This window comes from Homo sapiens, chromosome 12, assembly GCF_000001405.40.
Source record: "Homo sapiens chromosome 12, GRCh38.p14 Primary Assembly".
In the NCBI taxonomy this organism is placed as follows: Eukaryota; Metazoa; Chordata; class Mammalia; order Primates; family Hominidae; genus Homo; species Homo sapiens.
In genome coordinates this window covers 76,340,246-76,367,115 of record NC_000012.12, presented here as the reverse complement: position 1 = coordinate 76,367,115, position 26,870 = coordinate 76,340,246, and the positions used below count along the sequence as shown (strand labels likewise).

General features: G+C 38.2%; 2 protein-coding genes across 21 annotated transcripts in view, besides 3 other annotated features; both read left to right on the top strand.

Annotated features, from left to right (window-relative positions):
* The window catches only part of OSBPL8 (oxysterol binding protein like 8), a 207,975-nt gene extending 192,656 nt beyond the window's left edge, over positions 1–15,319 (top strand). For all 20 annotated transcript variants that reach the window (NM_001003712.2, NM_001319653.2, NM_020841.5 and 17 more), the window contains 3 exons: positions 8,305–8,410; positions 10,388–10,490; positions 11,095–15,319. In NM_001003712.2, coding sequence (NP_001003712.1) covers positions 8,305–8,410; positions 10,388–10,490; positions 11,095–11,227 — 342 coding nt within the window. In that variant the 3' untranslated portion in view covers positions 11,228–15,319. The remainder of the gene's footprint in view (positions 1–8,304; positions 8,411–10,387; positions 10,491–11,094) is intronic.
* Positions 17,496–18,445: an enhancer, noted in NCBI's record as "H3K27ac-H3K4me1 hESC enhancer chr12:76742451-76743400 (GRCh37/hg19 assembly coordinates)". NCBI's record gives its function as "activates a minimal SCP1, AML or CMV promoter by ChIP-STARR-seq in primed H9 embryonic stem cells {active_cell/tissue: H9 hESC(primed)}" and the evidence as "EXISTENCE:reporter gene assay evidence [ECO:0000049][PMID:30033119]".
* Positions 18,300–18,349: an enhancer, noted in NCBI's record as "active region_6675". NCBI's record gives its function as "activates an Ori minimal core promoter by ATAC-STARR-seq in GM12878 lymphoblastoid cells {active_cell/tissue: GM12878}" and the evidence as "EXISTENCE:reporter gene assay evidence [ECO:0000049][PMID:35858748]".
* Positions 18,446–19,395: an enhancer, noted in NCBI's record as "H3K27ac-H3K4me1 hESC enhancer chr12:76741501-76742450 (GRCh37/hg19 assembly coordinates)". NCBI's record gives its function as "activates a minimal SCP1, AML or CMV promoter by ChIP-STARR-seq in primed H9 embryonic stem cells {active_cell/tissue: H9 hESC(primed)}" and the evidence as "EXISTENCE:reporter gene assay evidence [ECO:0000049][PMID:30033119]".
* Positions 18,701–22,642, top strand: BBS10 (Bardet-Biedl syndrome 10). The gene is made up of 2 exons (NM_024685.4): positions 18,701–18,954; positions 19,329–22,642. The coding sequence occupies exons 1-2, from the start codon at positions 18,758–18,760 to the stop codon at positions 21,301–21,303; spliced, it is 2,172 nt and encodes a 723-aa protein (NP_078961.3). The 5' UTR covers positions 18,701–18,757; the 3' UTR covers positions 21,304–22,642.

The following is a 26,870-nucleotide window of genomic DNA, read 5'->3' as shown; positions in this document are numbered from 1 at the left end:
TCTAGATAGAAGATCAATAAGGAGGAAAGGGATTAACTTGAACCACACTGTAAACCAACTTGACCTAGCAGACACATAGAACAATCCACCCAACCATGGAAGAATACACATTCTTCTCAAGTGTACGTGGAACATTCTCCAGGATAGACCATATGTTATGCCATATGACGTGTCTCAGTAAATCCCAGCTACTCAGTTGGTTGAGGCATGAGAATCATGTGAACCTGGGAGACGGAGGTTGTAGTGAGCCAAGATCACACCATTGCACTCCAGCCTGGGCAACAGAGTGAGACTTTGTCTCAGAAACAAACAAAACAAAACAAAACAAACTCAATGGGTCAAAGAAAAACACAAGGGAAATTAGATAATACTTAGACAAGTGAAAACAAATATATAGTATAACAAAACTTACGAGATGCAGCAAAGGTAAGGAAAATATATATCTGTGAACATCTACATTAAGAGAGATCTCAAATCAATAACCTTACTTCATTCCGTGAGAAACTGGAAAAAGAAGAAAAAACTAAACCCAAAGCTAGCAGAAGAAGAAAATAATGAAGATTAGAGTACAGATAAACAAAATAGAGAGTAGGAAAAAAATAGAATTTGTGAAACCAAACCAAAAGTTGCTCTTTGATAAAAATCAACAAAATCGATAAACCATCAGCTAGGCTAAGGAAGCAAGAAAGAAGACACAAATGACTAAAATCAGAAATTAAAGTGGGGATGTTACTACCAATCATAAAGAAATAGGATTATGAGAGAATGCTATGAATAATTGTATGCCAACAAATCCCTAGAAACTCACAAATTACATAAACTGACTCAAAAAGAAATAGAAAATCTCAATAGAGCTGTAACAATAAAGAGATTGAATCAGTAACCAAAAACCTCCAAAGAAAAATTCAAGTTCAGGTGGCTGCACTGGTGAATTCTACAAAACTTTAAAGAACAAGCACAAATCCTTCTCAAACTCTAAAAAATAGAAGAGATGGGAACATTTCCTAACTTATTCTCTGAGGCTAACATTACCCTAATGCCAAAGCCAGATAAAGACATCACAAGAAAATAAAGTTACAAACAATAACCTTTATAAATAAGATTCATACATCCTTAACAAAATACTAGCAAACAAAATTCAGTAGCATATTAGAAAGATTATACACCATGACCAAGTGGAATTTATTCCAGAAATGCAAGGTTGGTTCCACGTAAGAAAATCAATGTAATATATCACATTAAGAGGGGGGAAAATCACATGGTCATTTCAATTGGCATAGAAAAGGCATTTGACAAAATCCATCACCCTTTCATAAACAAAAGAAAGACCTCATAAATCTAGGAAGAGAAGAGACTTCCTCAACATCATTAAGGGCATTTATGAAAAACCCACAAATAGTAGATTCAGTGGTGACAGGTTGAAAACCTTCCCCGTAACATCAGGAACAAGACAAACATTCCCACTTTCACCACTCCTACTTACCATTGTACTGGAAGTTCTAGCCAGAGCAAGAAAAAAAAGAGAAGTCATCAAAATTGGAAACAAGTAAAACTATCTCTAATTAACAGGTGACATTATCCTATATATAGAAAATCCCAAAGAATCCATAGAAAGCTACTGGAGCTAATGAACTTAAGAAAAATTGCAGGGTATAAGATCAACACACAAAAATCAGTTGTGTTTCTAACAGTGAACACTTGAAATTAAGAAAGCAATTCAATAATAGCATCTAAAAGAACAAATTTAACCAAGAAGCTGGAAGACTTCTACAGTGAAAACTATAAAACATTGCTAAAGAAATTAAAGAACATCTAAATAAAGGGAAAGACACCTCATGTTCTCAGGTAGAAAAGGTTAATATTGTTAAGATTTTGGCCAGGCGCAGTGGCTCATGCCTGTAACCTCAGCACTTTGGGAGGCCGAGGCGGAGGGACTGCTTGAGACCAGACTGGACAACATGGCAAAACTCTGTCTCTACAAAAAATAGAAAAATCAGCTGGGCATGGTGGCACACGCCTGTAGTCTCAGCTACTCGGGAAGCTGAGATGGGAGGATCACGTGAGCCCAGAGAGGTCAAGTGTAGTGACAGCACTACTATACTCCAGCCTGGGAGACAGAGTGAGACCCTGTCTCAAAAAAATAAGGACGTAACTGTACTACTAAAAGCAACCTACAGATTCGCCACAATCCATGTCAATATTCCAAGCCTATTTTTTTGCAAAAATGGGAAAGCAGATTTTCAAATTCACATGGAATTGCAAGGGGCCACAAATAGTCAAAACAATTTTGAAAAAGAAGTATAAAGAGGACTCTCACTTTTCGATTTCAAAACTTACTATAAAGCTATAGTAATCAAAGGAACGTGGTACTTATGTAAGAACAGGCATATTGACCAATGGAGTAGAATTGAGTGTCTAAATGTCAAGCCAGACATCCATGGTCAATTAATTAATTTATTTATTTTAATTATACTTTAAGTTCTGGGATACAAGCACAGAATGTGCAGGTTTGTTACATAGGTAGACACGTGCCATGGTGGTTTGCTGCACCCATCAACCTGTCATCTACATTAGGTATTTCTCCTAATGCTATCCCTCCCCTAGCCTCCCACCCACCGACAGGTCCCGGTGTGTGATGTTCCCCTGCCTGTGTCCATGTGTTGTCATTGTTCAGCTCCCACTTATGAGTAAGAACATGCGGTATTTGGTTTTCTGTTCCTGTGTTAGTTTGCTGAGAATGATGGTTTCCAGCTTCATCCATGTCCCTGCAAAGGACATTAAGTCATCCTTTTTTATGGCTGCATAGTATTCCATGGTGTATATATGCCAGATTTTCTTTATCCAATCTATCACTGATGGGCATTTGGGTTGGTTCCAAGTCTTTGCTATTGTGAATAGTGCCAAAATAAACATACGTGTGCATGTGTCTTTATAGTAGAATGATTTATAATCCTTCGGTATATACCCAGTAATGGGATCACTGGGTCAAATGTTATTTCCAGTTCTAGATCCTTGAGGAATCACCACACTGTCTTCCACAATGGTTGAACTAATTTACCCTCCCACCAACAGTGTAAAAGTGTTCCTATTTCTCCACATCCTCTCCAGCATCTGTTGTTTCCTGACTTTTTAATAATTGCCATTCTGACTGGCATGAGACGGTATCTCATTGTGGTTTTGATTTGCATTGCTCTAAGGACCAGTGATTATTTTTTTTCATGTGTTTGTTGGCTGCATAAATGTCTTCTTTTGAAAAGTGTCTGTTCATATCCTTTGCCCACTTTTTGATGGGGTTGTTTTTTTCTCGTAAATTTGTTTAAGTTCCTTGTAGATTCTGGATATTAGCCTTTGTCAGATGGATAGATGGCAAACATTTTCTCCCATTCTGTAGGTTGCCTGTTCACTCTGATGACAGACTCTTTTGCTGTGCAGAAGCTCTTTAGTTTAATTAGATCCCATTTGTCAATTTTGGCTTTTGTTGCCATTGCTTTTGGTGTTTTAGTCATGAAGTCTTTGCCCATGCCTGTGTCCTGAATGGCATTTCCTAGGTTTTCTTCTGCGTTTTTATGGTTTTAGGTCTTATGTTTAAGTCTTTAATCCATCTTGAGTTAATTTTTGTATAAGGTGTAAGGAAGGAAACCAGTTTCAGTTTTCTGCATATGGCTAGCCAGTTTTCCCAACCCTGTTTATTAAATAGGGAATCCTTTCCCCATTGTTAGTTTGTGTCAGGTTTGTCCAAGATCAGATGGTTGTAGATGTGTGGCGTTATTTCTGAGGCCTCTGTTCTGTTCCATCGGTCTATATATCTGTTTTGGTTACTGTAGCCTTGTAGTATAGTTTGAAATCAGGTAGCATGATGCCTCCAGCTTTGTTCGTTTTGCTTAGGATTGTCTTGGCTATATGGGCTCTTTTTTGGTTCCATGTGAAATTTAAAGTAGTTTTTTCTAATTCTGTGAAGAAAGTCAGTGGTAGCTTGAGGGGTATAGCACTGAATCTGTAAATTACTTATGGCCGTATGGCCATTTTCACGATATTGATTCTTCCTATCCATGAGGATGGAATGTTTTTCCATTTGTTTGTGTCCTCTCTTATTTCCCTGAGTAGTGGTTTGTAGTTATCCTTGAACAGGTCCTTCACATCCCTTGTAAGTTGTATTCCCAGGTATTTTATTCTCTTTGTAGCAATTGTGAATGGGAGTTCACTCATGATTTGGCTCTCTGTCTATTATTGGTGTATAAGAATGCTTGTGATTTTTGCACATTGATTTTTTTGTATCCTGAGACTTTGCTGAAGTTGCTTATCAGCTTAAGGAGATTTTGGGCTGAGACGATGGGGTTTTCTAAATATACAGTCATGTCATCTGCAAACAGAGACAATTTGACTTCCTCTTCTCCTATTTGAATACCCTCTATTTCTTTCTCTTGCCTGATTGCCCTGGCCAGAACTTCCAGTACTATGTTGAATAGGAGTGGTGAGAGAGGGCATCCTTGTCTTGTGCTGGTTTTCAAAGAGAATGCTTCCAGCTTTTGCCCACTCAGTATGATATCGGCTGTGGGTTTGTCATAAATAGCTCTTATTATTTTGAGATACGTTCCATAGATAACTACTTTATTGAGAGTTTTTAGCATGAAGGGTGTTGAATTTTATTAAAGGCCTTTTCGGCATCTGTTGAGATAATCATGTGGTTTTTGTCATTGGTTCTGTTTATGTGATGGATTACGTTTATTGATTTGCATATGTTGAACCCGCCTTGCATCCCAAGGATGAAACCGACTTGATCTTGGTGGATCAGCTTTTTGATGTGCTGGATTCGGTTTGACGGTATTTTATTGAGGATTTTTGCATCGATGTTCATCAGGAATATTGGCCTGAAATTTTTTTTGTTGTGTCTCTGCCTTGTTATTTTAAATAAGCTTCTCACTAGTGTTCATCAGTCTCCAATTTGAACCTACTCTAGAAATGTGGATTTCTATTTTAAATGTTACAAAATTTTAAGCCTCCAGCATTTGAAGTAGGAGTATGGGCCAAACCTGCCTGCTTATTACATATTATAGAAATTTTAATTTTAAATACCTGAATAAGATTTTGCAAAATTATTTCAAGAAATAAGTAATTGAGAATACTTCTTGTTACAATGCTGAACAAGAAAGAACGAGTTGTTGACCACTGGTTCTCTGTTTTTCCAAGCATGAACATTACCTTGTGATAGGGTTTGGCTCTATGTTCCCATCCAAATCTCATCTTGAATTGTACTCCCATAATTTCCACATGCTGTGGGAGGGACCCGGAGGGAGATAATTTGAATCAAGGGGGTGGTTTCCCCCATGCTGTTCTCATGGTAGTGAATAAGTCTCATGAGATCTGCTGGTTTTATCAGGGGTTTCCGCTTTTGCATCTTTCTCATTCTCTTTTGCTGCTGCCATGTAAGAAAGGGGGCCTTTCACCCTCTGCCATGATTATAGACCTCCCAAGTCATGTGGAACTGAACATCAAATTTAAGCCTCCTTTTCTTCCCATCTCGGGTATGTCTTTATCAGCAGCGTAAATATGGACTAATATAGTAAATTAGAGTGGGATGCTGCTGAAAAGATACCCAGAAATGTGGAAGCGACTTTGGAACTGGGTATCAGGCAGAGGTTGCAACAGTTTGGAGGGCTCAGAAGAAGACAGGAAAATGTGGGAAAGTTTGGAACCTCCTAGAGACTTGTTGACTGGCTTTGACAAAAATGTTGATAGTGATGTGAAAAACAAGGTCCAGGCTGAGGTGGTCTCAGATGGAGATGAGGAACTTGTTGGGAACTGGAGCAAAGGTGACTCTTGTTATGCTTTAGCAAAGAGGCTGGTGGCATTTTGTCCCTGACATAGAGATTTGTGGAACTTTGAACCTGAAGGAGATGATTTAGGGTATCTGGCAGAAGAAATTTCTAAGCAGCAAGACATTGAAGAGGTGACTTGGGTGCTGTTAAAAGCAGTCTGTTTTAAAAGGGAAACAGAACATAGAAGTTTGGAAAATTTGCAGCCTGACGATGCAGTAGAAAAGAAAAACCCATTTTTTCAGGAGAAATTCAGCTGGCTGCAGAAATTTGCATTAGTAACAAGGAGCCGAATGTTAATCCCCAAGAAAATGGGGAAAATGTCTCCAGGGCATGTCACAGGTCTTCATGGCAGCCCCACCCTTCACCAACCTGGAAGCCTAGGAGGAAAAAATGGTTTCATGGGCTGGGCCCAGGGTTCCCATGCTGTGTGCAGCCTAGGGACTTGGTGCCCTACGTCCCAGCCGCTTCAGCCATTGCTAAAAGGGGCCAAGTTACAGCTCTGCCCATGGTTTCAGAGGGTGCAAGCCCCAAACCTTGGCAGCTTCCACATGGTGTTGAGCCTGTGGTGCACAGAAGTCAAGAATTGAGGTTTGGGAACCTCCACCTCGATTTCAGAAGATGTATGGAAACGCCTGGATACCCAGGAAAAAGATTGCTGCAGGGGCACGGCCCTCATGAAGAACCTCTGCTAGCACAGTGCAGAAGGGAAATCTGGGGTCGGAGCCCCCCACAGAGTCCCTACTGGGGCACTGCCTAGTGGAGCTGTGAGAAGCGGGCCACCGTCCTCTAGACCCCAGAATGGTAGATCCACCAACAGCTTGCACTGTGCACCTGGAAAAGCCGCAGACACTCAGCGCCAGCCCATGAAAGCAGCCAGGAGGGGATACCCTGCAGAGCCACAAGGGTGGAGCTGCCCAAGACTATGGGAACCTACCTCTTGCATCAGCATGATCTGGATATGAAACGTGGAGTCAAAGGAGATCATTTTGGAGCTTTAAAATTTTGGAGCTTTAAAATTTGACTGCCCCACTGGATCTCAGACTTGCATGGGCCCTATGACCCCTTTGTTTCCAAATTTCTCCCATTTGGAACAGTTGTATTTACCCAATGCCTGTACCCCCATTGTATCTAGAAAGTAACTAGCTTGCTTTTCATTTTACAGGCTCATAGGCAGAAGGGACTTGCCTTGTCTCAGATGAGATTTTGGACTGTGGACTTTTGGGTTAATGCTGAAATGAATTAAGACTTTGGGGGACTGTTGGGAAGGCATGATTGGTTTTGAGATGTGAGGACATGAGATTTGGAGGGGCCAGGGTAGAATGATACGATTTGGCTCTGTGTCCTCACCCAAATCTCATCTTGAATTGTACTCCCATAATTCCCACGTGTTGTGGGAGGGACTTGGTGGGATCTCACCTTGAATTGTACTCCCATAATTACCACGTGTTGTGGGAGGGACTTAGTGGGAGATCATTTGAATCATAGGGGCAGTTTCCCCCATATTGTTCTCGTGGTAGTGAATAAGTCTCACGAGATCTGATGGTTTTATCAGAGGTTTCCACTTTTGCATCTTCCTCATTCTCTCTTGCTGCCACAATGTAAGAAGTGCCTTTTGCCATCTGCCATGATTTTGCGACCTCTGCAGACATGTGGAACCATAAGTCAAATTAAACCTCCTTTTCATCCCAGTCTCGGGAATGTCTTTATCAGGAGCATAAAAACTGACTAATACATCTTGTCTTTCTGATTCTAGTTTCTTCTCTTGCATTTAGGTTTTTAAGTTTAATACTGAACACCAAAATTACAAATCTATTAATAGGATAGAGTCCAAAGTTATTATTCTAAGGAAAATTTAGTCATAGTTGATGGTTTCATATACTTTTGAATCTTGTGCATCCACTTCAATCCTTTCAGTAAGTTTAAATAATGCTCTACAAAATAATGGTATCATTTTTATTTATTATAAGATACTTTCTGTACTACCCAGATGTGATTAAAAGTAAATAAACCGTTTTACTGGAAACCCAGCATTGTTCAGTGGGAATGTTTCTAACATTGGGAACAAAATAAATATGATTTATACACACTATTATTTAACATTCTATTATTTAACATTCTACTAGAGAATAATAATAGCTGGTGCAGTCAGAGGTAGGGGGATCTATATTCATATTTGTTTATGTATACATAATAATATCCCTGGATATAAACTAATAGTGATGGGTACCTATTTAGTGGGAGAGAGACTGGGTATACTCTTCATTGTGTATTTTACTTTTTGACATTTGTGCCAAAGTACTTCCTATTAAAATAAGATCATTTGATTGCATAAGTGCATCACATTTGTTAAATTTGAATTAGACTATTTCATCATTGTCTTTATTTCTGAATATCATGCCTATGTGCAGATAATTTTGACAATTGTACACAGTTGGTCTTTAGTCCAAAATACAGTGCAAATTCACAAAATAGTTATTTTTTTCTTTAGGTTAGCGTCCCCAAAATGAAACATAAGCCAACCAGGCAACAGAAGAAAGTAGCAAAAGGCTATTCCTCCCCAGAACCTGACATTCAAGACTCCTCTGGAAGTGAAGGTAAAAATATTTATTGCAGACTAATGAGAGTCTAACTTTTTAATTACTACACAATTTGATATGAATATGGTTTTTCATATTAACTCAAGTTATGTGAGTTTTGGTCGGGGCAGGGTTGAGATACAAAAGCAATTCTAGATCATAGATAAGTTGTGAGACCAGGACGCAAGGTAAAGAAACAGAAAATGAAAAAGGGGAGACATCTAAATAAAAACCACACTCTAGGCAGGGTGTGGTGGCTCATGCCTGTAATCCCAGTACTTTGGGACGCCGAGGTGGGCAGATCACTTGAGGCCAAAAGTTCAAGACCAGCCTGGCTAACATGGGGAAACCCCGTCTCTACTAAAAATATGAAAAAATTAGCCAGGTGCGGTGGTGCACACCTGTAATCCCAGCTACTTGGGAGGCTGAGACACGAGAATTGCTTGAACCCCGGAGATGGAAGATGCACTGAACCGAGATCACACTACTGCACTCCAGCCTGGGTGACAAAGTGAGACCCTGTCTCAAAAAAAAAAAAAAAAAAAAAAGAACCACACTCTAGTAGTAGCTACCTCTTATGCCTTGTTAACCTCTGAAAAATTGCTGATGGTTCCCTAGATTGAATTCAGAAGCATTTTTTGAGCTTTGAACTCAGTTCCATGCTTCAAAAATGTTTTTCATTTCCAGAATAAATTACTGTAGTGTTTGGAAGTGACAGACAATAAAAATATAAAACTTAGCAACTGCTAGCTTAAATTGTACTCCATTCTTATTCGAGTCAGATAATGTGTAAAGTATCTTGAACTACATTGAGATATAATCATGAAAGGATTAAAGTGATGTTTGTGACATGACAAAAAAAAAAAAACTTTAAGCCATAATCTCTACTGAGTTTACACTGAACTAGGGAGCTCATTTTAACCTATAAAGATAACACTAGAAGTGAATAAATGGTAGATTACTAAGAAATTAGATGACAAGTGATAAAGAGTTTAAAGGAGAGGGAGCTCAATTCAGTTTGAGGGAAAGTTCTTAGAATCCTGATGAATTATTAAGATTTCTAATGGATTATAGCAATCTAGGCTTGGAGAGTGGGGTAGGGGTAACATACTAGAGTAGTTAGAGGAATGAACCGAATAAAGGTTTAAAAGCAGGAGTCATGTGGCATACCAGTGTGTTAGAAGAGAGTATTGGTTGTATTGTTGTTATTCCCATTTTACGAGAAAAGAAACTGAGACACAAGTTAACCTGCCTAAGGTCACATACCCCATAAGTAGGTATATGTATGTTATATATGCAGATTTTTTGGCTCCTTAATTCACCCTGTCATCCACTTTACTATATTACTATAATGTATCAGCAGACATTTATTGAGTAATTAATTTGTGCCAGACTGTATGTTAAATACACCTTACAACAACCCTGTGAAGTCTGGTATTATTATCCCTATTTTTAAAATGAGAAAGCTGACACTTGCAGAGAGGTTAAGTAGGATCTGAACAAAAATGGAAAGGAAGGAATGCATATGTAGGGAATTTGGAAAAACATGTACAGCTTGCTGATTGGCAGTAAAAATTTGCAGAAGTGGTGTCGAAAGGGATTTAAAGTTTAGGTAACTAAACACTCACAATAAAAAATTGGAAAAAAGGGCTCAAGAAGCTGACTTCAGAGGTAGGCAAATGGGCAAGGAACAGAAGAGAGTAATACCTTCCTCAAGTTAATATGTATTTCTAATGAATTATTTCTGTTTTAATTAGTTAAAAAAACTGGTGCCATCCAAAATTCAACTAATGTGTAGTACTTTAAATATATTTGTAGTGTTCTAGTATTGCAATGATGTGTTTGAAACTTCAAAAGTGCAGAGTATTCATATTACTATGCTAATCTCTAGGCTACAAAAACAAATGCCCAGGAAAATTTTTATTACATGAGACACATTAAATTGAACTGTAGATTATTTTTATAGTTTCAACTTCATTCTAAATGTCTTTTTAGCTCAATCAGTAAAACCAAGTACAAGAAGAAAGAAAGGAATAGAACTGGGAGACATTCAGAGTTCCATCGAATCTATAAAACAAACACAGGAAGAAATTAAAAGGTAATAATATAATGACACTGACTATTCATTTGAGACCAAGGAGTAGTTAAGAATCCTGTTATATGGGAAATCATATGCAGACTTCATATTTTTATAACATTTAGCTAAGCTAAAATACAATGTTTAGCCTCTATCACCTGATGTTTGACACTTACGAAATTCCTCCAGCACTAAAATACTTGGGAAGGAAGGAGAGGTTGTTTTTTCTCTGTAAGGGTAGAATTGGAATCACTTTATTTTACTCCTATAGCATGCTAGGAATGTAGCTGGGTTGCATGTGGAGGTGGGATTGTTTCTGAGAAAGTCAGTTAACAAAGGCCTCTATAGTCCCCTCTGTGCATGGCTGTTATTTCATTGGAATGCATCAGTTGAAATATTGAAATACATCCATAACATTGGGTAAATATTTACTCCCTGAGCCCTTAAGTATTCCTCTTTGCAGTCCCAGACCCCGCCCCCCCCCACCCCTACATACCACCCCATGACCCAGCAACTAAAAATTATTAACATTAAATGCTCTGTGACTGTTTAATATCAAATTGTGGGCTCTATGCCAACATTTCTGGCAAATCATTACAAAATTTGTTGTTGCTTATTTTTATAGAAATATTATGGCTCTTCGAAATCATTTAGTTTCAAGCACACCGGCCACGGATTATTTTCTGCAACAAAAAGACTACTTCATCATTTTCCTCCTGATTTTGCTTCAAGTCATAATAAACTTCATGTTCAAGTAGAAGTTCTCTACCATTGAATCAGTGAACTAGAAAGATCTGATTTGGCCTGGGACCAGTGTTCAAGTTGGTTTGGTCTTTATTAAAAATCACAATATTCCGAAAACAAAAAAACCTAGGAGATAAATGTAGAGGTATTGACTTTTCGTATCTTTTATCTTCACACTGAAACAAGAGCTATCCTATTTGATTATTAAAGTGAGCTATGTGTTAAGTGCCAGGACATTTCTAGCTTTTGTGAGAATGTGTCTACATATGAGTATAATAAACCCACATGTATACACAATTGTCTCTTATGTACTCCTACCTGACAGTAGTCTTTGTATTCTATAGTATGTTCTGAGATATAATGTTAACATTGTTCATAACAAAAAATGCTATCAATCTTATAAATATATGTAATCTATTTTCTTCATAAAACAGGCACAAAAGTTTTATCAGTAAGGAATTACAGATTGAGAAATGATGGAATAATAGACATAATTAATTCAATACACTACTGTTAAAATCATTTGCAAAGCACTCAGCTCAATTATCTTCTTAGAAAGAAAGAAAAAGTATGAATGGTCAAAATGAATACATCGAGAGAGATAAATGGCAAATTGCTTTTTTAAAAGTTTACATAAGTTTTTTTTAACCCCTAGAATTTAATATTTGTAGATGCAGGTAAATATATATACTTACGTGTATATCAGTATAAAAACACTGGTGTGCAATTAATTGGATTGATTATAATACCACCTTAAGCACTTGCTGAAAAAAGTGTGGTCAAAATTGATTGCTGTCCTTTTGTCTTATTTTTGTTTTTCTTAAGTCAGCTGGTTCATAACATAGGCCAAATTCTAGAGATGTTTATAGAGCATTTGAAGTGCTGATAATTTATGTTTTTTCATTATGAAAACTTATTTTAGCTTTAGACTCCAGTGTGTTCAGTGAATAAGTAGAATATAAAAAAATATAACCAGTATTTTACTTCAAAAGCCAAAAAGAGGCAATAAGAAAAGACACTTTGTGGTGGCCTTTATGTGTGCATTAAAATTGGTTTCTGTAAAACGTGTAATAAGTTGAGTATCTACGAAGAGTATCAAGTTCTGAAGTTTAATTTTTTTATTATCCTCCTCTCTTCTTAGTAACTTCTTTCTGTGGCAAAACCACAATTCTTTAAGATTCCTATTGTTCAGGCTAAGGCAAATTTTTTTGTTTGTTTCTTCAGTTTAATATTTTGATTTTGTGTTTTTACGTAAATATTTATATTCCTTGAAAGCAATTTTTGCCAAGGTAGTTCAGTTTAGGAATATGTTGTTCTAAAATATGTCTTAGAATCCTGAAAGCATAGATTTTGAAATGTTTTTTTAATGAAAATGAAGGTCAGAGAGAATAATTGCCCTGACCACATTTGCCTTTCAGTAGGAGGAGGCTGTGAAATAGTAAAATTATAATCGTTTATGCCATGATAAATACAAGATTGGTAAATAAATACATTGATTGGTAAATTATGAGAATCAAAATGATAAAAAGAGCCTGCTTTTTTCCCTAACCAATATAGCTATCTTAAGTATCCTTAGGTTTCTGTGAAGAACCATTTCCCATGTTTTCTTGGCAAAATAATGCTGTATTCCATATGTACATGTGAAATGATGTTTTAAATTGATAAAAGCTTAAATAAGATCTACCTATACCCAGTATTTTCATGATATTAGAACAAATGGGTTTTTGGTTATATTTTATATTTGTCAATATAATTTTTGTATTCACATTCTGTTACACTCTGCCTATTCATTGATATATGATATTCTGTAAATATTGTACAATTTGATCTTTTTTATGGTTTAAATTAGTTAATTACATACAAATTGATTGGCTTATCACAAAAATCATTTCATCAGTAAACCTTGTTAACATTTTGTACTGGTGACCCACCTCTTAGGACTTTGGTCTTATCCACGTGTATGTTGTTTTCATTTGGTCCAAATAATATTTTATTTGTATGGGTATCTTCTAAGACTAAATAGGTAGTTGTGTTCTTTATTTTTAAAATTTCTTTTTAGAGCAAATGTTATGGGTTCTTACCCAAAGAGTCAAAAACTATTTCTTAAGAAAGAGCAGAGTTATTCATGACTGTTCTTTATACACTAAAAGCATGCATCTAATCTAATAGTCCTCTTATTATGCTTTTAGTTGTATGAGTCTCTTTCTATGAACTGAACACAAAACTCAGGAATTGGTGGCTTAATTTTAGATCAGTGCTTGTACTAGGCTTAGTTATATGAATCTTTATAACACATAATTACTAACTTTGTAGCCATATATGTAATTGACTTTGAATGTTATTTACCTGAAATTAATCTTCCTTCACACATGGACCGTAAACGGTTCCCAGTTGTCTGAGAGCCTCATGAGGGTTTCTAGGATTTATGACCTTATGACCAGTTTTTTTCATTTACCAAGATTTTATTTTCCTACATGAAAATTTAATTGAGTAATAATTATTCACATGTGCATTTTCTTTTTAGCTGTTAAATGTACTATGCCATCATCCACCATTTAGTAAAATGTAGCTGGCCCAGGACATGTAAAAAAAAAAAAAAAACAACAACAATAAATAGGGCATGTGAAATGTTAAGTTACAGCAATAGATATTTTATTTGTATTTCATGTTAGTACTTTTTTGTTTTATATCACTTATAAAGGTACAGTGTACTCTTTGTCACAGCTCAGTTGGTAACCGCATTCCATTGAAAAGTTGGCCTTGTAAAATACAACTCTCATTTAATATTCATGCTTTTGTGCCTTTAAGAAAATATTTTTTGTCATTTTTTGTGTTACAGAACTATAATGTGATTCAAGGTGTTTATAGGCTTGTCATAAAAGGGTCATTTCTGTGTGTTACTTTCTTTTTATATAGCTATAGTATATTTAAACAATAATACTATCTTTTATAGGGGTTTGTCTATTTACCTATTCTTTACTCAGACATTGATGTAGACTTGTCAGATTATTCTGAGTATTGTTAACAGTGCCTTTTCGATGGAATCACACTTTTTGGCTGTCACCTTGTGCCATATACACACAAAATTTTGTGGAAGGCAGTTTTAACTTTCTGAAGAATATCTGTCAAAATTTAAGAAAACAAATGTATAAAATTCCATTTTTTCCAGTGTTTAGCATTTCTAGTAAGCAGTGAGGTTGTTTGACATACAGTGATGATGGCATTATTGATAAGCCATACATGAGACTGCAGATTATATTGAATCATATTAAATGTACAGAAATAAAATATTAGATTTATATCAAATTTTCCAATTTGAACCAGTGGGGAAAATCCCACAGAAATCAGTAAGTTTACATTTCAATTTCTATCTTATTTGACTAAGTGGAAAGAGATTCTTTAAAATGTATAACCTGCCATTATGTAATTTGGTTTCATTTTATTCTACCTGTTGTGTGAGTTTAGTATATTTAATTTACTTTTTGTTACTCTTTACATACTGTTTATTTTTGTTAGTTTTTAATTGAAGATGGACTGTTGAAATTGTATAGGACCAGTGTCTTATTAATATGATTAATATATTTAGAAGAGCCACGTGAAACCCATGACAAAATGAATGTGAATATTCTTTCTAAAAATTTAGAAAATGTTATCTTTTTGCATTTATTATGTAAAACTGTTTTACAGTATCAAAATTTTTCACTTAAAGAAAAAAAATGCCATGAAACATTTGAACTGATGAGCCACAGAACTTCAGTTGAAATTTTTTTCACTTTTTAGCATGCTAAATATACATCTGAGTTTAAATGTTCTGTTTAATGGCCATTCATAAATTCAAGCACTACCACTGGTCAGTTTTGTGTGATAGAATAAAAATATGTTACCTGCAGTGTAAGTACAGCACACTGTCAAATTCTTTTCCTTAAGGTGCACAGTAAATGTACAGATAGTTATAGGCCACTGTTTTGTAATGTAGTACATTTCTAATCTATTATTCCTAACCTATTATAACTGTTTGCAGAAAGAAAAGAATTTTTCTAATAATCTGTAAAATTATGCTAACTTCTACAAGTAGGCTTCTAAATAAAATTTTTAAAAAGAGCAAACGGTGATCAAGTGACTTTTAATACAATATGATGACTAAATTATTGCTAATTTGTTTTAATCCCCCCTTTTGTGGGGATAGGGATAGCTGCAAAGGATGGCAAAGGGCTTGAAAGGGATTCAACAGTGAGAATCCCTGAAGTATGCTTTGCTTGGTGCCTTATATTCATTCTTCTCGAATCCTCTATGAGAACCTTAGGTGGACGTTAGCCAGATTTTATACATGAAGATGCTGAGGCTCAGAGAGGTTGAAAGTCTCCAAAAGCTGCGGAGTAAGAGTGGTAGCCGACTCTTACTTTAAGAGTAAAAGCACAAGTTTGAATCTGTATCTCCGTGGTACACTTAAATAGAACTCTAATAGCACTTCACTTCTAAATGTCAGGAATATAATCCACTGCTTGAATCTATATTGAGTAATGTAACCCCTTTGTTATGAGTAGCACCACAAAAAAACCCTACTATTAAACATATACGAAATCCATATGAAAGGGTTTTTTTTTCCCCCCTCAGATCACCTATTAGTCCATACTGAGTCAACATCAGATGAGTTCCGAGACATCATTCCTCTCTGGTTTTCCCCCACCCTCCTTTCTTCCCATTCTTGCTCTCTGCTCAGGGTCCAGTTGCTTCTGGCTGTCATTTGGTTTGGTTTTATTAATTGGGGAGAAAAAGATGGGAGGGCCTGCCGGTTCCTCCTATCTTGTTCATAGCAATAAGGATTAAGGAAAACGGCCCCTCATTGTCCAACCTCGTGAAACATCTACAAGATCATTTTCTTGCTAATACTGGCATGCTTCGACTCTAGATGATGTATGTTGTGCCATTATGCTAGTTGAATCTTCTGCATCTCACAAAATATCACTTGTGGGAATAATAAACCAGGAGAGTGGTGACCTACCACAGTAATTTGGTGGGTGCGTCAGAGGCATCTGAACCAGAGCAACTCCAGTAATTTGGTGGGTGCGTCAGAGGCATCTGAACCAGAGCAACTCCATCTTGAATAGGAGCTGGGTAAAATGAGGCTAAGATCTAGGCTGCATTCCCAGATGATTAAGGCATTCTAAGTCACAGGATGAGATAGGAGGTTGGCACAAGATACAGGTCATAAAGACCTTGCTGATAAAACAGGTTGCAGTAAAGAAGCCAGCCAAAACCCACCAAAACCAAGATGGCCACGAGAGTGACCTCTGGTTGTCCTCACTGCTATACTCCCACCAGCACCAAAGACAGTTTACAAATGCCATGGCAATGTCAGGAAGTTACCCTATATGGCCTAAAGAGGGGAGGCATAAATAATCCACTCCTTGTTTAGCATATCATCAAGAAATAACCATAAAAATCGGCAACCAGCAGCCCTTGGGGCTGCTTTGCCTATGGAGTAACCATTCTTTTATTCCTCTTTCTTAATAAACTTGCTTTCACTTTATGGACTCGTCCTGAATTCTTTCTTGCATGAGATCCAAGAACCCTCTCTTGGGGTCTGGATTGGGACCCTTTTCCTCTAACAGGTGTAATATAAATATCTGTTGAGTGCTAACTATGCCAGGCACTATGCAAAGTGTTTAGTGAACATTCTCCACCTACTCAAAACCTCTTGAGATTTTTATTTTGTATATGTTATCTCCACTGGTTTTTTTGGCGGGGATTGTTTTGTTTTGAGACAAGGTCTCGCTCTGTCGCCCAGGCTGGAGTGCAGTGGTGCAATCTTGGCTCACTGCAACCTCCCTTCCCGAGTTCAAATTATTCTCATACCTCAGCCTCCAGAGTAGCTGGGATTACAAGCATGCACCACCATGCCCAGCTAATTTTTGTATTTTTAGTAGAGACGGGATTTTGCTATGTTGGCCATGCTGGTCTTGAACTCTCGGCCTCCTGTGATCTCCCACCTCGGCCTCCCAAAGTCCTGGAATTACAGCCATGAGCCACTGCGGCAGGCCCATTGTTTTTAAAGATGAGAAAAGCAGAGATCAAAGAGGTTACTTGGTGAATGCCACAGGTAAGGAAATGACAGAGCAAATCCAGGTCTGAATCCAAAGCCCATGCTCTCAAGTGCCTGTGTTTTAGGCCAGGCAAGGTGGCTCATGCCTGTAATCCTAAAACTTTGGAAGGCCAAGTTGGGAGGATCACTTGAGGCCAGGAATTCAAGATCAGCCTGGGCAACACAGGGAGACCCTGTCTCTACTAAAAGAGAAAATAACCAGGCGTAGTGAGGCACAAAGCGACTTGAAGGCTAAGACAGGAGGATCACGAGCTCAGGAATGCGGAGCTGCAGTAAGCTATGATCTCGCCACTGCACTCCAGCCTGGGCGGCAGAGTGAAACTTCATCTCTTAAAAAACAAAAAAAATGTTATAAGAGACAGTATTTTCTGTCTTTGGGTTATATACAATAATCCTTGGCCATGTGTTTTAAAGCATACTGTTGATCACCGACGTGATTAATGGATTTAAATCTGCACAGCGGCTCATGCCTGTAATCCCAACACTCTGAAAGGCCGTGGCAGGTGGATCATTCAGGTCATGAGTTCGAGACCAGCCTGGTCAACATGGTGACATCCCCATCTCTACTAAAAATACAAATATTGGCGGGGCACAGTGGCGTATGCCTGTAATCCCAGCTACTTGAGAGGCTGAGGCACGGGAATCGCTTGAGCCCGGGAGGCGGAGGTTGCAGTCAGCCGAGATTGCGCCACTGCACTCCAGCCTGGGCGACAGAGCGGGAGTCCATCTCAAAAAATAGAGACTTCGCATCATTTCTGCTTAATATATTTGTGGTGTCTAGAGTTTTATTGTGATACCTGAGTCTAGGAAATGTGGTAAAGCCTCTGCAGCAGACATAAAGCCTGCAATTCATGGCTGTGGCCAGGCTCTCCTCACCTGTCCTGCATCTACAAATTATTTCCGTTATGGTAAGGAGAGCAACTCGTGGGGAATGTGGACAGGAACATGCGTGAATCCAAGGCAGAGGTTTTGCCCCGGAAAAAGCAGCTTCTGGCAGGGGATGAAAGCCAGCAGAGTTCCAACCGGGGTGCCCTCTCCTTCACGCAGGCCCCACTACCGTGTTGACTTAGGAAGAAAGTTTCTCGGGAGACTAAGGGATTTGGGGGCAGCGGACGCCACTGGAGGGAGATGAATTCACCTAGGGAGCCGGGGAGGGGCTTAGGGTTGCCGCTCCAGGCACAGCTGCTGGAAATCCTAGTCTGTTTTTTCTGCCTTCGCGTACAACGGGCCAGCTCACCCCACCTGGCAAAGCTGCAGGGCTTTTCCACCAGGCGGACAGAAGGGCAGCCCTCTCGCCCAACCAAGAAGCCGTGCTACCCCGGCTTCGACTCCTGGCTTCCGGGTTTTCTCCCCGCCTATTCCGTTTCCGGCCGTTCCCACCCCTGTTTTCGGTCGGCCCGGGTGTTCTGCAAGCTGGTCAAAAAGGGGAAGCGGCCCAGATATGTTAAGTTCTATGGCCGCTGCAGGGTCTGTGAAGGCGGCGTTGCAGGTGGCCGAGGTGCTGGAAGCCATCGTGAGCTGCTGCGTGGGGCCCGAGGGACGGCAAGTTTTGTGTACGAAGCCCACTGGCGAGGTGCTTCTCAGCCGGAATGGAGGCCGCCTCCTGGAGGCGCTACACTTAGAGCATCCCATAGCCAGGTACCCGCGTCCCACACGCTAACCCGTAGCCGGGCACCCCAGGCAGCCTCTGTGGAGCTCTTGTCCCATCCTGAGGCGATGCGTACTTAGAAAGACTGACCTCGGGTGAAACCGCTGTATGCTCGGAATTAGAGCCCTGCCCAAGGGAACACTCCTGCACCCCAAATCTTACCAATTCTCAAGACCACTTCTCCCCACTCCACCCAACGGTGGAATCTTGGAATAGAGCAGAGTTTTTTCCAAGAAAGGAAAAAACTAAGGATGTATCCAAGGAACAATATTCTCATTTTATGCTTATGGCTGTGTAAACATGGTTTTAAGATGTGGGAAGCCAGCCTTCTGAAAATGAGTTGCTTTATTTCTTTTTTGTACAGGATGATAGTGGACTGTGTTTCCAGTCATCTCAAAAAAACAGGAGATGGTGCAAAAACATTTATTATCTTTCTTTGCCATTTGCTTAGAGGACTTCATGCAATCACAGACAGAGAAAAGGATCCTTTGATGTGTGAAAACATTCAAACCCATGGAAGGCATTGGAAAAATTGTTCTCGGTGGAAATTTATTTCCCAGGCTCTCCTAACGTTTCAGACACAAATATTAGACGGTATTATGGACCAGTACCTAAGTAGACACTTTTTGTCTATCTTTTCGTCTGCTAAAGAGAGAACATTGTGTAGGAGCTCTTTAGAGTTGCTCTTAGAAGCATACTTTTGTGGAAGAGTGGGAAGAAATAATCATAAATTTATTTCACAGTTGATGTGTGACTACTTTTTCAAGTGTATGACTTGTAAAAGTGGGATTGGTGTATTTGAGTTAGTGGATGACCATTTTGTAGAGTTGAATGTTGGTGTCACTGGCCTTCCTGTTTCAGATTCCAGGATCATAGCTGGTCTTGTGCTTCAGAAAGATTTTTCTGTGTACCGCCCAGCAGATGGTGACATGCGAATGGTGATAGTAACAGAAACCATTCAGCCTCTTTTTTCCACTTCTGGATCAGAGTTTATTCTAAATTCAGAAGCACAGTTTCAGACATCTCAATTTTGGATTATGGAAAAGACAAAAGCAATAATGAAACATCTACATAGTCAGAATGTAAAATTGCTCATATCTAGTGTGAAACAACCAGATTTAGTTAGTTATTATGCAGGGGTGAATGGCATATCAGTGGTTGAGTGTTTATCATCAGAAGAAGTTTCTCTTATCCGGAGGATCATTGGTCTTTCTCCATTTGTACCACCACAGGCCTTTTCGCAGTGTGAAATACCTAACACTGCTTTGGTGAAATTTTGTAAACCTCTTATCCTTAGATCCAAAAGATATGTTCATCTAGGCTTGATAAGCACATGTGCATTTATACCACACTCTATAGTTCTTTGTGGACCAGTGCATGGTCTCATTGAACAACATGAGGATGCTTTACATGGAGCACTTAAAATGCTTCGGCAATTATTTAAAGACCTTGATCTAAATTACATGACACAAACCAATGACCAAAATGGCACTTCAAGTCTTTTTATTTATAAGAACAGTGGAGAAAGTTATCAAGCACCAGATCCTGGTAATGGCTCAATACAAAGGCCTTATCAGGACACAGTTGCAGAGAACAAAGATGCATTGGAAAAAACTCAAACATATTTAAAAGTACATTCTAATTTGGTAATTCCAGATGTAGAATTAGAAACATATATTCCGTATTCAACCCCCACACTGACACCAACAGATACATTCCAAACAGTTGAAACGCTGACATGTTTGTCTTTGGAAAGAAACAGGCTAACTGATTATTATGAACCATTACTCAAGAACAATTCCACTGCTTATTCAACAAGGGGAAATAGAATAGAAATTTCTTACGAAAATTTACAGGTCACAAATATTACTAGAAAGGGAAGCATGTTACCAGTGAGCTGTAAGTTACCGAATATGGGTACTTCCCAGAGTTACCTTTCCTCATCTATGCCAGCTGGTTGTGTTTTGCCAGTAGGTGGTAATTTTGAGATCTTGTTACATTACTATCTTCTCAATTATGCCAAAAAATGCCATCAATCAGAAGAAACCATGGTTAGTATGATAATAGCTAATGCACTTTTAGGCATTCCCAAAGTCCTTTATAAATCTAAAACAGGAAAGTACAGCTTTCCACATACATATATAAGAGCTGTCCATGCACTGCAAACCAATCAACCCTTGGTAAGCAGTCAGACAGGTTTGGAATCAGTAATGGGTAAATACCAGCTACTAACTTCAGTTCTTCAGTGTTTGACAAAAATATTAACCATTGACATGGTAATCACTGTTAAGAGACACCCTCAGAAAGTTCACAATCAAGATTCAGAAGATGAACTATAACATCAGAAGTTTTTAATTAACCAAACTTTTCATCTAACTCAAGCCAAGTAAAGCAGTCATGTGACCACTGGTTCTAAAGTCAGTTCAGTCTACTTAGGAAAATAGCGTAACTTTAAAAGTCTTTAGAAGAAGCACACTAAGGTCACCAGACCAGATACAAATATTAAATTACTTTATGGAACAAATCTAGAGGGGAAGCCAAGATTTGGCTAAGTGTGTCTGTTTTTTCCCTATTTTATGCCTCTGTGTCTCAGCTCTGTGTTAGCCTATGTGTTTAGGGGAGGGTTTTTCTTTATAGCTCCTTTTTACTCTCCTGTATCTTTTTCACTCCAGCCCTCCTTCATCGTTACATGTTTAGTTCATAGAATCATTTAATCTCTGATTTGGGTGGGCTTATTCTAATTGTTTTTAATATTGAATACATTATTTGCATTAATTTTCCCTACTCATACTTTGTAAAGCTGAGTAAAAGGCTCAAATTATTTTTTTCAAAAAGCATAAAATTAAATTAGCAGTGAGTAAAAGGCTCAAATTTTTTTTCAAAAAGCATAAAATTAATTTTTACTTTTATGTGGTCATTGGTTTACTGCCACTTCATTTGGAAAACTTGGATAGATTTTCACCTTTGATATACCTTTGAATATATGTTACCTGAAATATAACTGTGCATTGTTAACTCTTTCATTTCTGTAGTAAAAGGTTAATACTAGAAAGGATATGCAATTAATACTTTGATTTTCTCCTGACCCCAAGAGCTTGTAAGGATATGTCATGTATTTACTGGTTTTTCTTGTATCTGGTGCATAGCCAGAGTTCCACAGTAACAAATAATTTGACAATTTTTATTTCTAATGTTTATTTCTGTTTTATTTTTAATTTTTATTTCTAATTTATTTCATTTACAAATGTTCATATTTTAAAAACTTGTCAATGTAAATAATATGATGCATCTTATCATGGACAAGGACAGTGTTTTCTACCTTTATCAGTTCTCTGTAATACCCAAAACAGTGCTGTATTTACTCCAAGTATTCAGAAGTGCTTGTTGAACAAAACAGTGTTATCTTTAATTCATTCCTTTAAATACATGTTTCCAGTTTACTTATTCAACAGATTCTTACTTGGGATTGACTGAAGAAAAAAAACTTTAATTATAGTTGAATAAGTGTTGACTAATGTATTTTAAAAACTATAATATCAAAATTTTTTATATTAAATGTAATTCTGATTTTTTAAACATTTATGCTATATGATGCATTATTTTGTTTCTGTGAATATGGAGAGAATAAATTAGCTCTTTTGCTGAATTCATGGATGAATGAACTTTAAAACTGCTGCATAATTTTTTTCATTTTTTTTTTAATTGCCTTTCAGGTCATTTGGTCACTTTGCTTTTTTTGTGGTTGTTTAAAACACTCCTCCATTACTGTAAGCATTTAATGACTTCCAGACATGCCCAGTGCTTTGCATATGATAAGCATTTAATAGGTATAGTCACTAGTCCAGGAGCCCTGTTGAGGTAGGACTGGGTCTTTGTACGTTTGGCACTTGGTCTAATATCTTACACACAATAGATGCCTATTGAGGGCCTATTTGTTGAATGAATCTGTCATTTGGTCCTCATAGATGAGATTATAATTTCTATAAACTTTCATGGGCAAAGGATCTATTTTGGGGAGGAGCAGAAAGTGTAGAACAGATCTACACAAAGTAATCCTTTTCCTTTTCATTAAAAGAAACCCCTCAAAAATGGTGGTAAAACTTTCATGGATTTATCCTTATTTACAGAATAACACTAGAGAGTTTACATCACTGAGTTAGATAGGAAAGCACTTTTAAAAATGTAATTACATTATACTTATACCCTCTACCACAAAGGATGTGAAGTGACCTGCAATAAGAACAGACCATCCCCACCCAAGAAAAGGAACAGACAAAATTACAGTAAAATCTGAATGAAAATTAAAGAATCAAGACCAAGGAAAATGTAAAGGCCAGTTAAAATCAAAATCAAGATCATGTTTCTATTTTTTACTGCTGCATAATGAATAATCCCAAAACTTAGTTTTTTTGAATCATTATGTTATTTACTTGTGGTTCTGGGGGTTGACTGGGCTTAACTGGACAACTTTCACTGCATTCTGTTGTTTGAGCAGTCATAAGCATCACCTGAGGTTCAAAGGAGAAGAATGCAGGCCCCACCACTCAATGGGAACAGTGTCAGTGTCACATCATAAGAGCATGTGGGATGGGATATATTGAGGCAGCTATCTTTGGAAAATACAATCTGCTACACCATGGGAGGGAAAAGACAAATACGCATTAACTTCTCAACTGCGTTTCTTTTTATTATTAAGTTACATGTCGATCCACCTCCCACAAACACATTTTCTCCAATAACCTTTATAGACCTTCTTATTTTTTCTCATTGGGCCAGCATGAGCCATTTTTATTTTCAAAGCAATAGTTAAACTTGAACATCCTTGAGCTGATTCAGCCAGGGATGCTATTTAATCATGTTGTACAGGAATTGCCATGTTATCCACATTTCAGACTAAAAGGGAAGGGGAAGAAGAATGCAGTTTGAGCCTGAACTTTTATCAGAAATTGCCTCTCCTCTCCCAAAAGAAGTAGAATATGTCTTTCTCATCTTCACAGCTTAGCAGAGAAAACAAAAACTACAGCTCACAAACCATGTATATGTATGTATATATAGTTATTAATTGCAACTTTGTCATAGCAAAAGATTGCTAACAGCCTAAAAGCTAGATGGATTCACAAAGAGAGGCAATGATTTGGAGGGGTGGGGGAGGAGATACCAATCAATCAGGAGGAGGTAGGAAGATTTCTCAATGTCATTTTGATTTTTGAACCAATTGAATATTACCTATATAAAAATGAAATAAGATTTTAAAATAGATCTAGTGCAAGCACATAGAGAATACTCTCCAAATAGTAATTAAGTAATAAGGACCCTGATCTAAGGAAATGCAAGATCAGCATGGAAGAAAAACTGTGAGACACCCTGACAAATAAGTAGAACTTTGACAATAAAAGATATACACCTGAAAAAAAGGAATATTCTCTTAGCTACACCTGGCTTAGGATTGTCTCACCAGTTCTGGAAATATGAGAACATTCTCACTAGGCAGGCTGCAAAGAGGTGTGAGCTGTGAAAGAGTGCCAGCAAGCAGTGCTTCATTCTCGGGGGAATTTCCACAGTGCAGGGTCTGGCTCTCCCTTATGCAGACTCACCATCAGATTTTTGTGAGCACACTGATTATGGCTTTGTCTCAGGGGCTAACTCACGCTAAGCTTGTGAATGTGATAAATTTATTTACAGTGAGAACTCTCCCAGGAACTAGAATATTCCAAGTCCATTTGGCCAATCTTTCCTTTATGTGTGGATCTCTATGGGAAGTCAAACAATAATCAGGTGCTTGCTCAGTAAGCGTGGAATCAGAACAAGAGAAATCAAATGAAATATATGGTCCTCTTTCCAGTCCATTCATGCTCCGGTTCCCCATGGCATAGTCCTGGCCCTCCTCTACCTATACTTGCTTCCTAGGAGAGCCTATCCATCCATGGCTTGGGTGCCAATAGATGCTGATAATCCCAAATTATATATTTCCAGCCTAGACCTCTTTGAATTCTCAACTCATTTATCCACCTGCCAACCCAGTCTCCACTTGGATGCTCACCCTTAACGTGCCCAAAATAGAATTGCTATTTCCCATTTCCTAACCCTAGCCCTCCCACTGTCGCCCCATGTCAGTTAATGGTACCACCCACCTCCCACCTGCTCAGGACAAAAACCTAAGAAACACATTGACTTGTCTTCATGCTCCACAACCAATCTATCAGCAAATCCTGCTGGCTTCAAATACAAAACGGGTTTCAGATCCACCCGTTTCTCACCACTGCCACCGTTGCCACTCCAGCCCAAACCACTTCATCTCACCTGCACTAGCTCATAATGGTCTTATAGTTCTCTAGAGTGATTCACCCTGACTTTATTTAAAAATGTAAACCCACAAAAAAGTGAAAGAGTACAATGAAACCTTCATCTAGATTCACCAAGTAATCTAGATTTTAGCCCGTTTGTGCACACATTTTACTGAACCAATTGAAAGTAAGTTGTAGAAAGCATTATACTTTATCTTTCAATACCTCAGTATGTGTTTCCTATGAATAAGAAGTTTTCCCTACGTGACTGATTCTTTTGAAAGGCAAATCATGTCATGTTCCCCTGCTCAAAGTCCTCCAATGATTTTTCCTCATACAGAATGCAATCCAAATTTGTCATAGTCTACAAGGCTTAGCATGACCTGACCCCCACCTATTCCTTAGATCTCATAGTCTACCAGTCCCTCTATCTTACATTCCACCAGTTACACTTACTGTTTCTGTCTGGATAGGTTACACCATACTGAAATATCCCCAAATCTCACAGGCTTAAAACAATACAGTCAGGTATGGTGGTGTGTGCCGGTAGTCGCAGCTACTCAAGAGGCTGAAGCAGGAGGATCTCTTGAGCCCAGGAGTTTTGAGTCCAACCTAGGCAATAAAGCGAGAGCCCATTTCCAAACAAAACAAAACAAAAGCAACCACAATATAAATAGTTCTTACTCAAATTACATGCCTACTAGAAGGCAACTGGTGATTCTGTTTCCTTCCTTACTGCTAGATCTAGGCTGATGGAGCAGCTACTATCACGCATTAGCAATCATCGATTGTACCAGAGAGGGAAAAAGAGCTCTAGAACGTCTTACATTGGCTCTGTCTGTAAATGGAACATATTATTTTTGCTTATGACTCTGTCCAGAACTAGTCACATTGTCCTATATATATCCACAGAAGAACCAGTGGTGCAATCCTATCTTGTGCCCAGAAGGACGGAGAACCAGAACATTTGGCAAACAACACACACAAACGCCAAACTGGCCTTTCTGTTCCCTGAACACACAAGTTTATTCCAGCCTCTGAACTTGCCACTTCCTGTTCTGTCAGCTTAGAACTCTTTTTTAACTCTGATCTTCGTATGGCTCTCTTCCTCAATTTAGGCAGCTATCTCTGCTTAAGTATCATATTCTTAGCAGTGCCTTCCTTGACACCCAATCTAAAATAATACCTTATTTCCTCCCCAAGACCTCCCTCCTTCACTGTATCTTCCTACCTTGTTAAGCATTTTTTGAAGCACAAACCTGATGTTATTGGTGTATGGTTTATTTTTTAATTGACTGCCTTCCCCACCAGAATATAAACATGAGGATTTTGACTTATTCGCCTCTGTATCTCTAGCATGTAGGCTAATGCCTGATGTAGTAAGGACTCAATAAAGTTCAGTGAGTAAATGAAGGAATTAATAGGTCTAGACCAGTTGAAAAACCTGACTAAAGCTGCCTTTCTCTGAGCAGTAATTGGATGGATCCAACCAACATTTGCCTCAGTGACTCCATTTATATATACTTCCAATGCTACTTAAATTCTGAAGGACACAACTTTTTAAAATACCAGATCACTGCAGAGTCCCACCAGCTTTGAAACCATTCTGTCTTCTACAGGTG

What these genes read in the sequence shown, in the direction of transcription:
- BBS10 (NM_024685.4), top strand. Translation starts at nt 18,758, where the DNA reads ATGTTAAGTTCTATGGCCGCTGCAGGGTCTGTGAAGGCGGCGTTGCAG. An exon ending in TTAGAGCATCCCATAGCCAG is followed by an intron (nt 18,955 to 19,328) that starts GTACCCGCGTCC and finishes TTTTTTGTACAG; the next exon opens with GATGATAGTGGACTGTGTTT.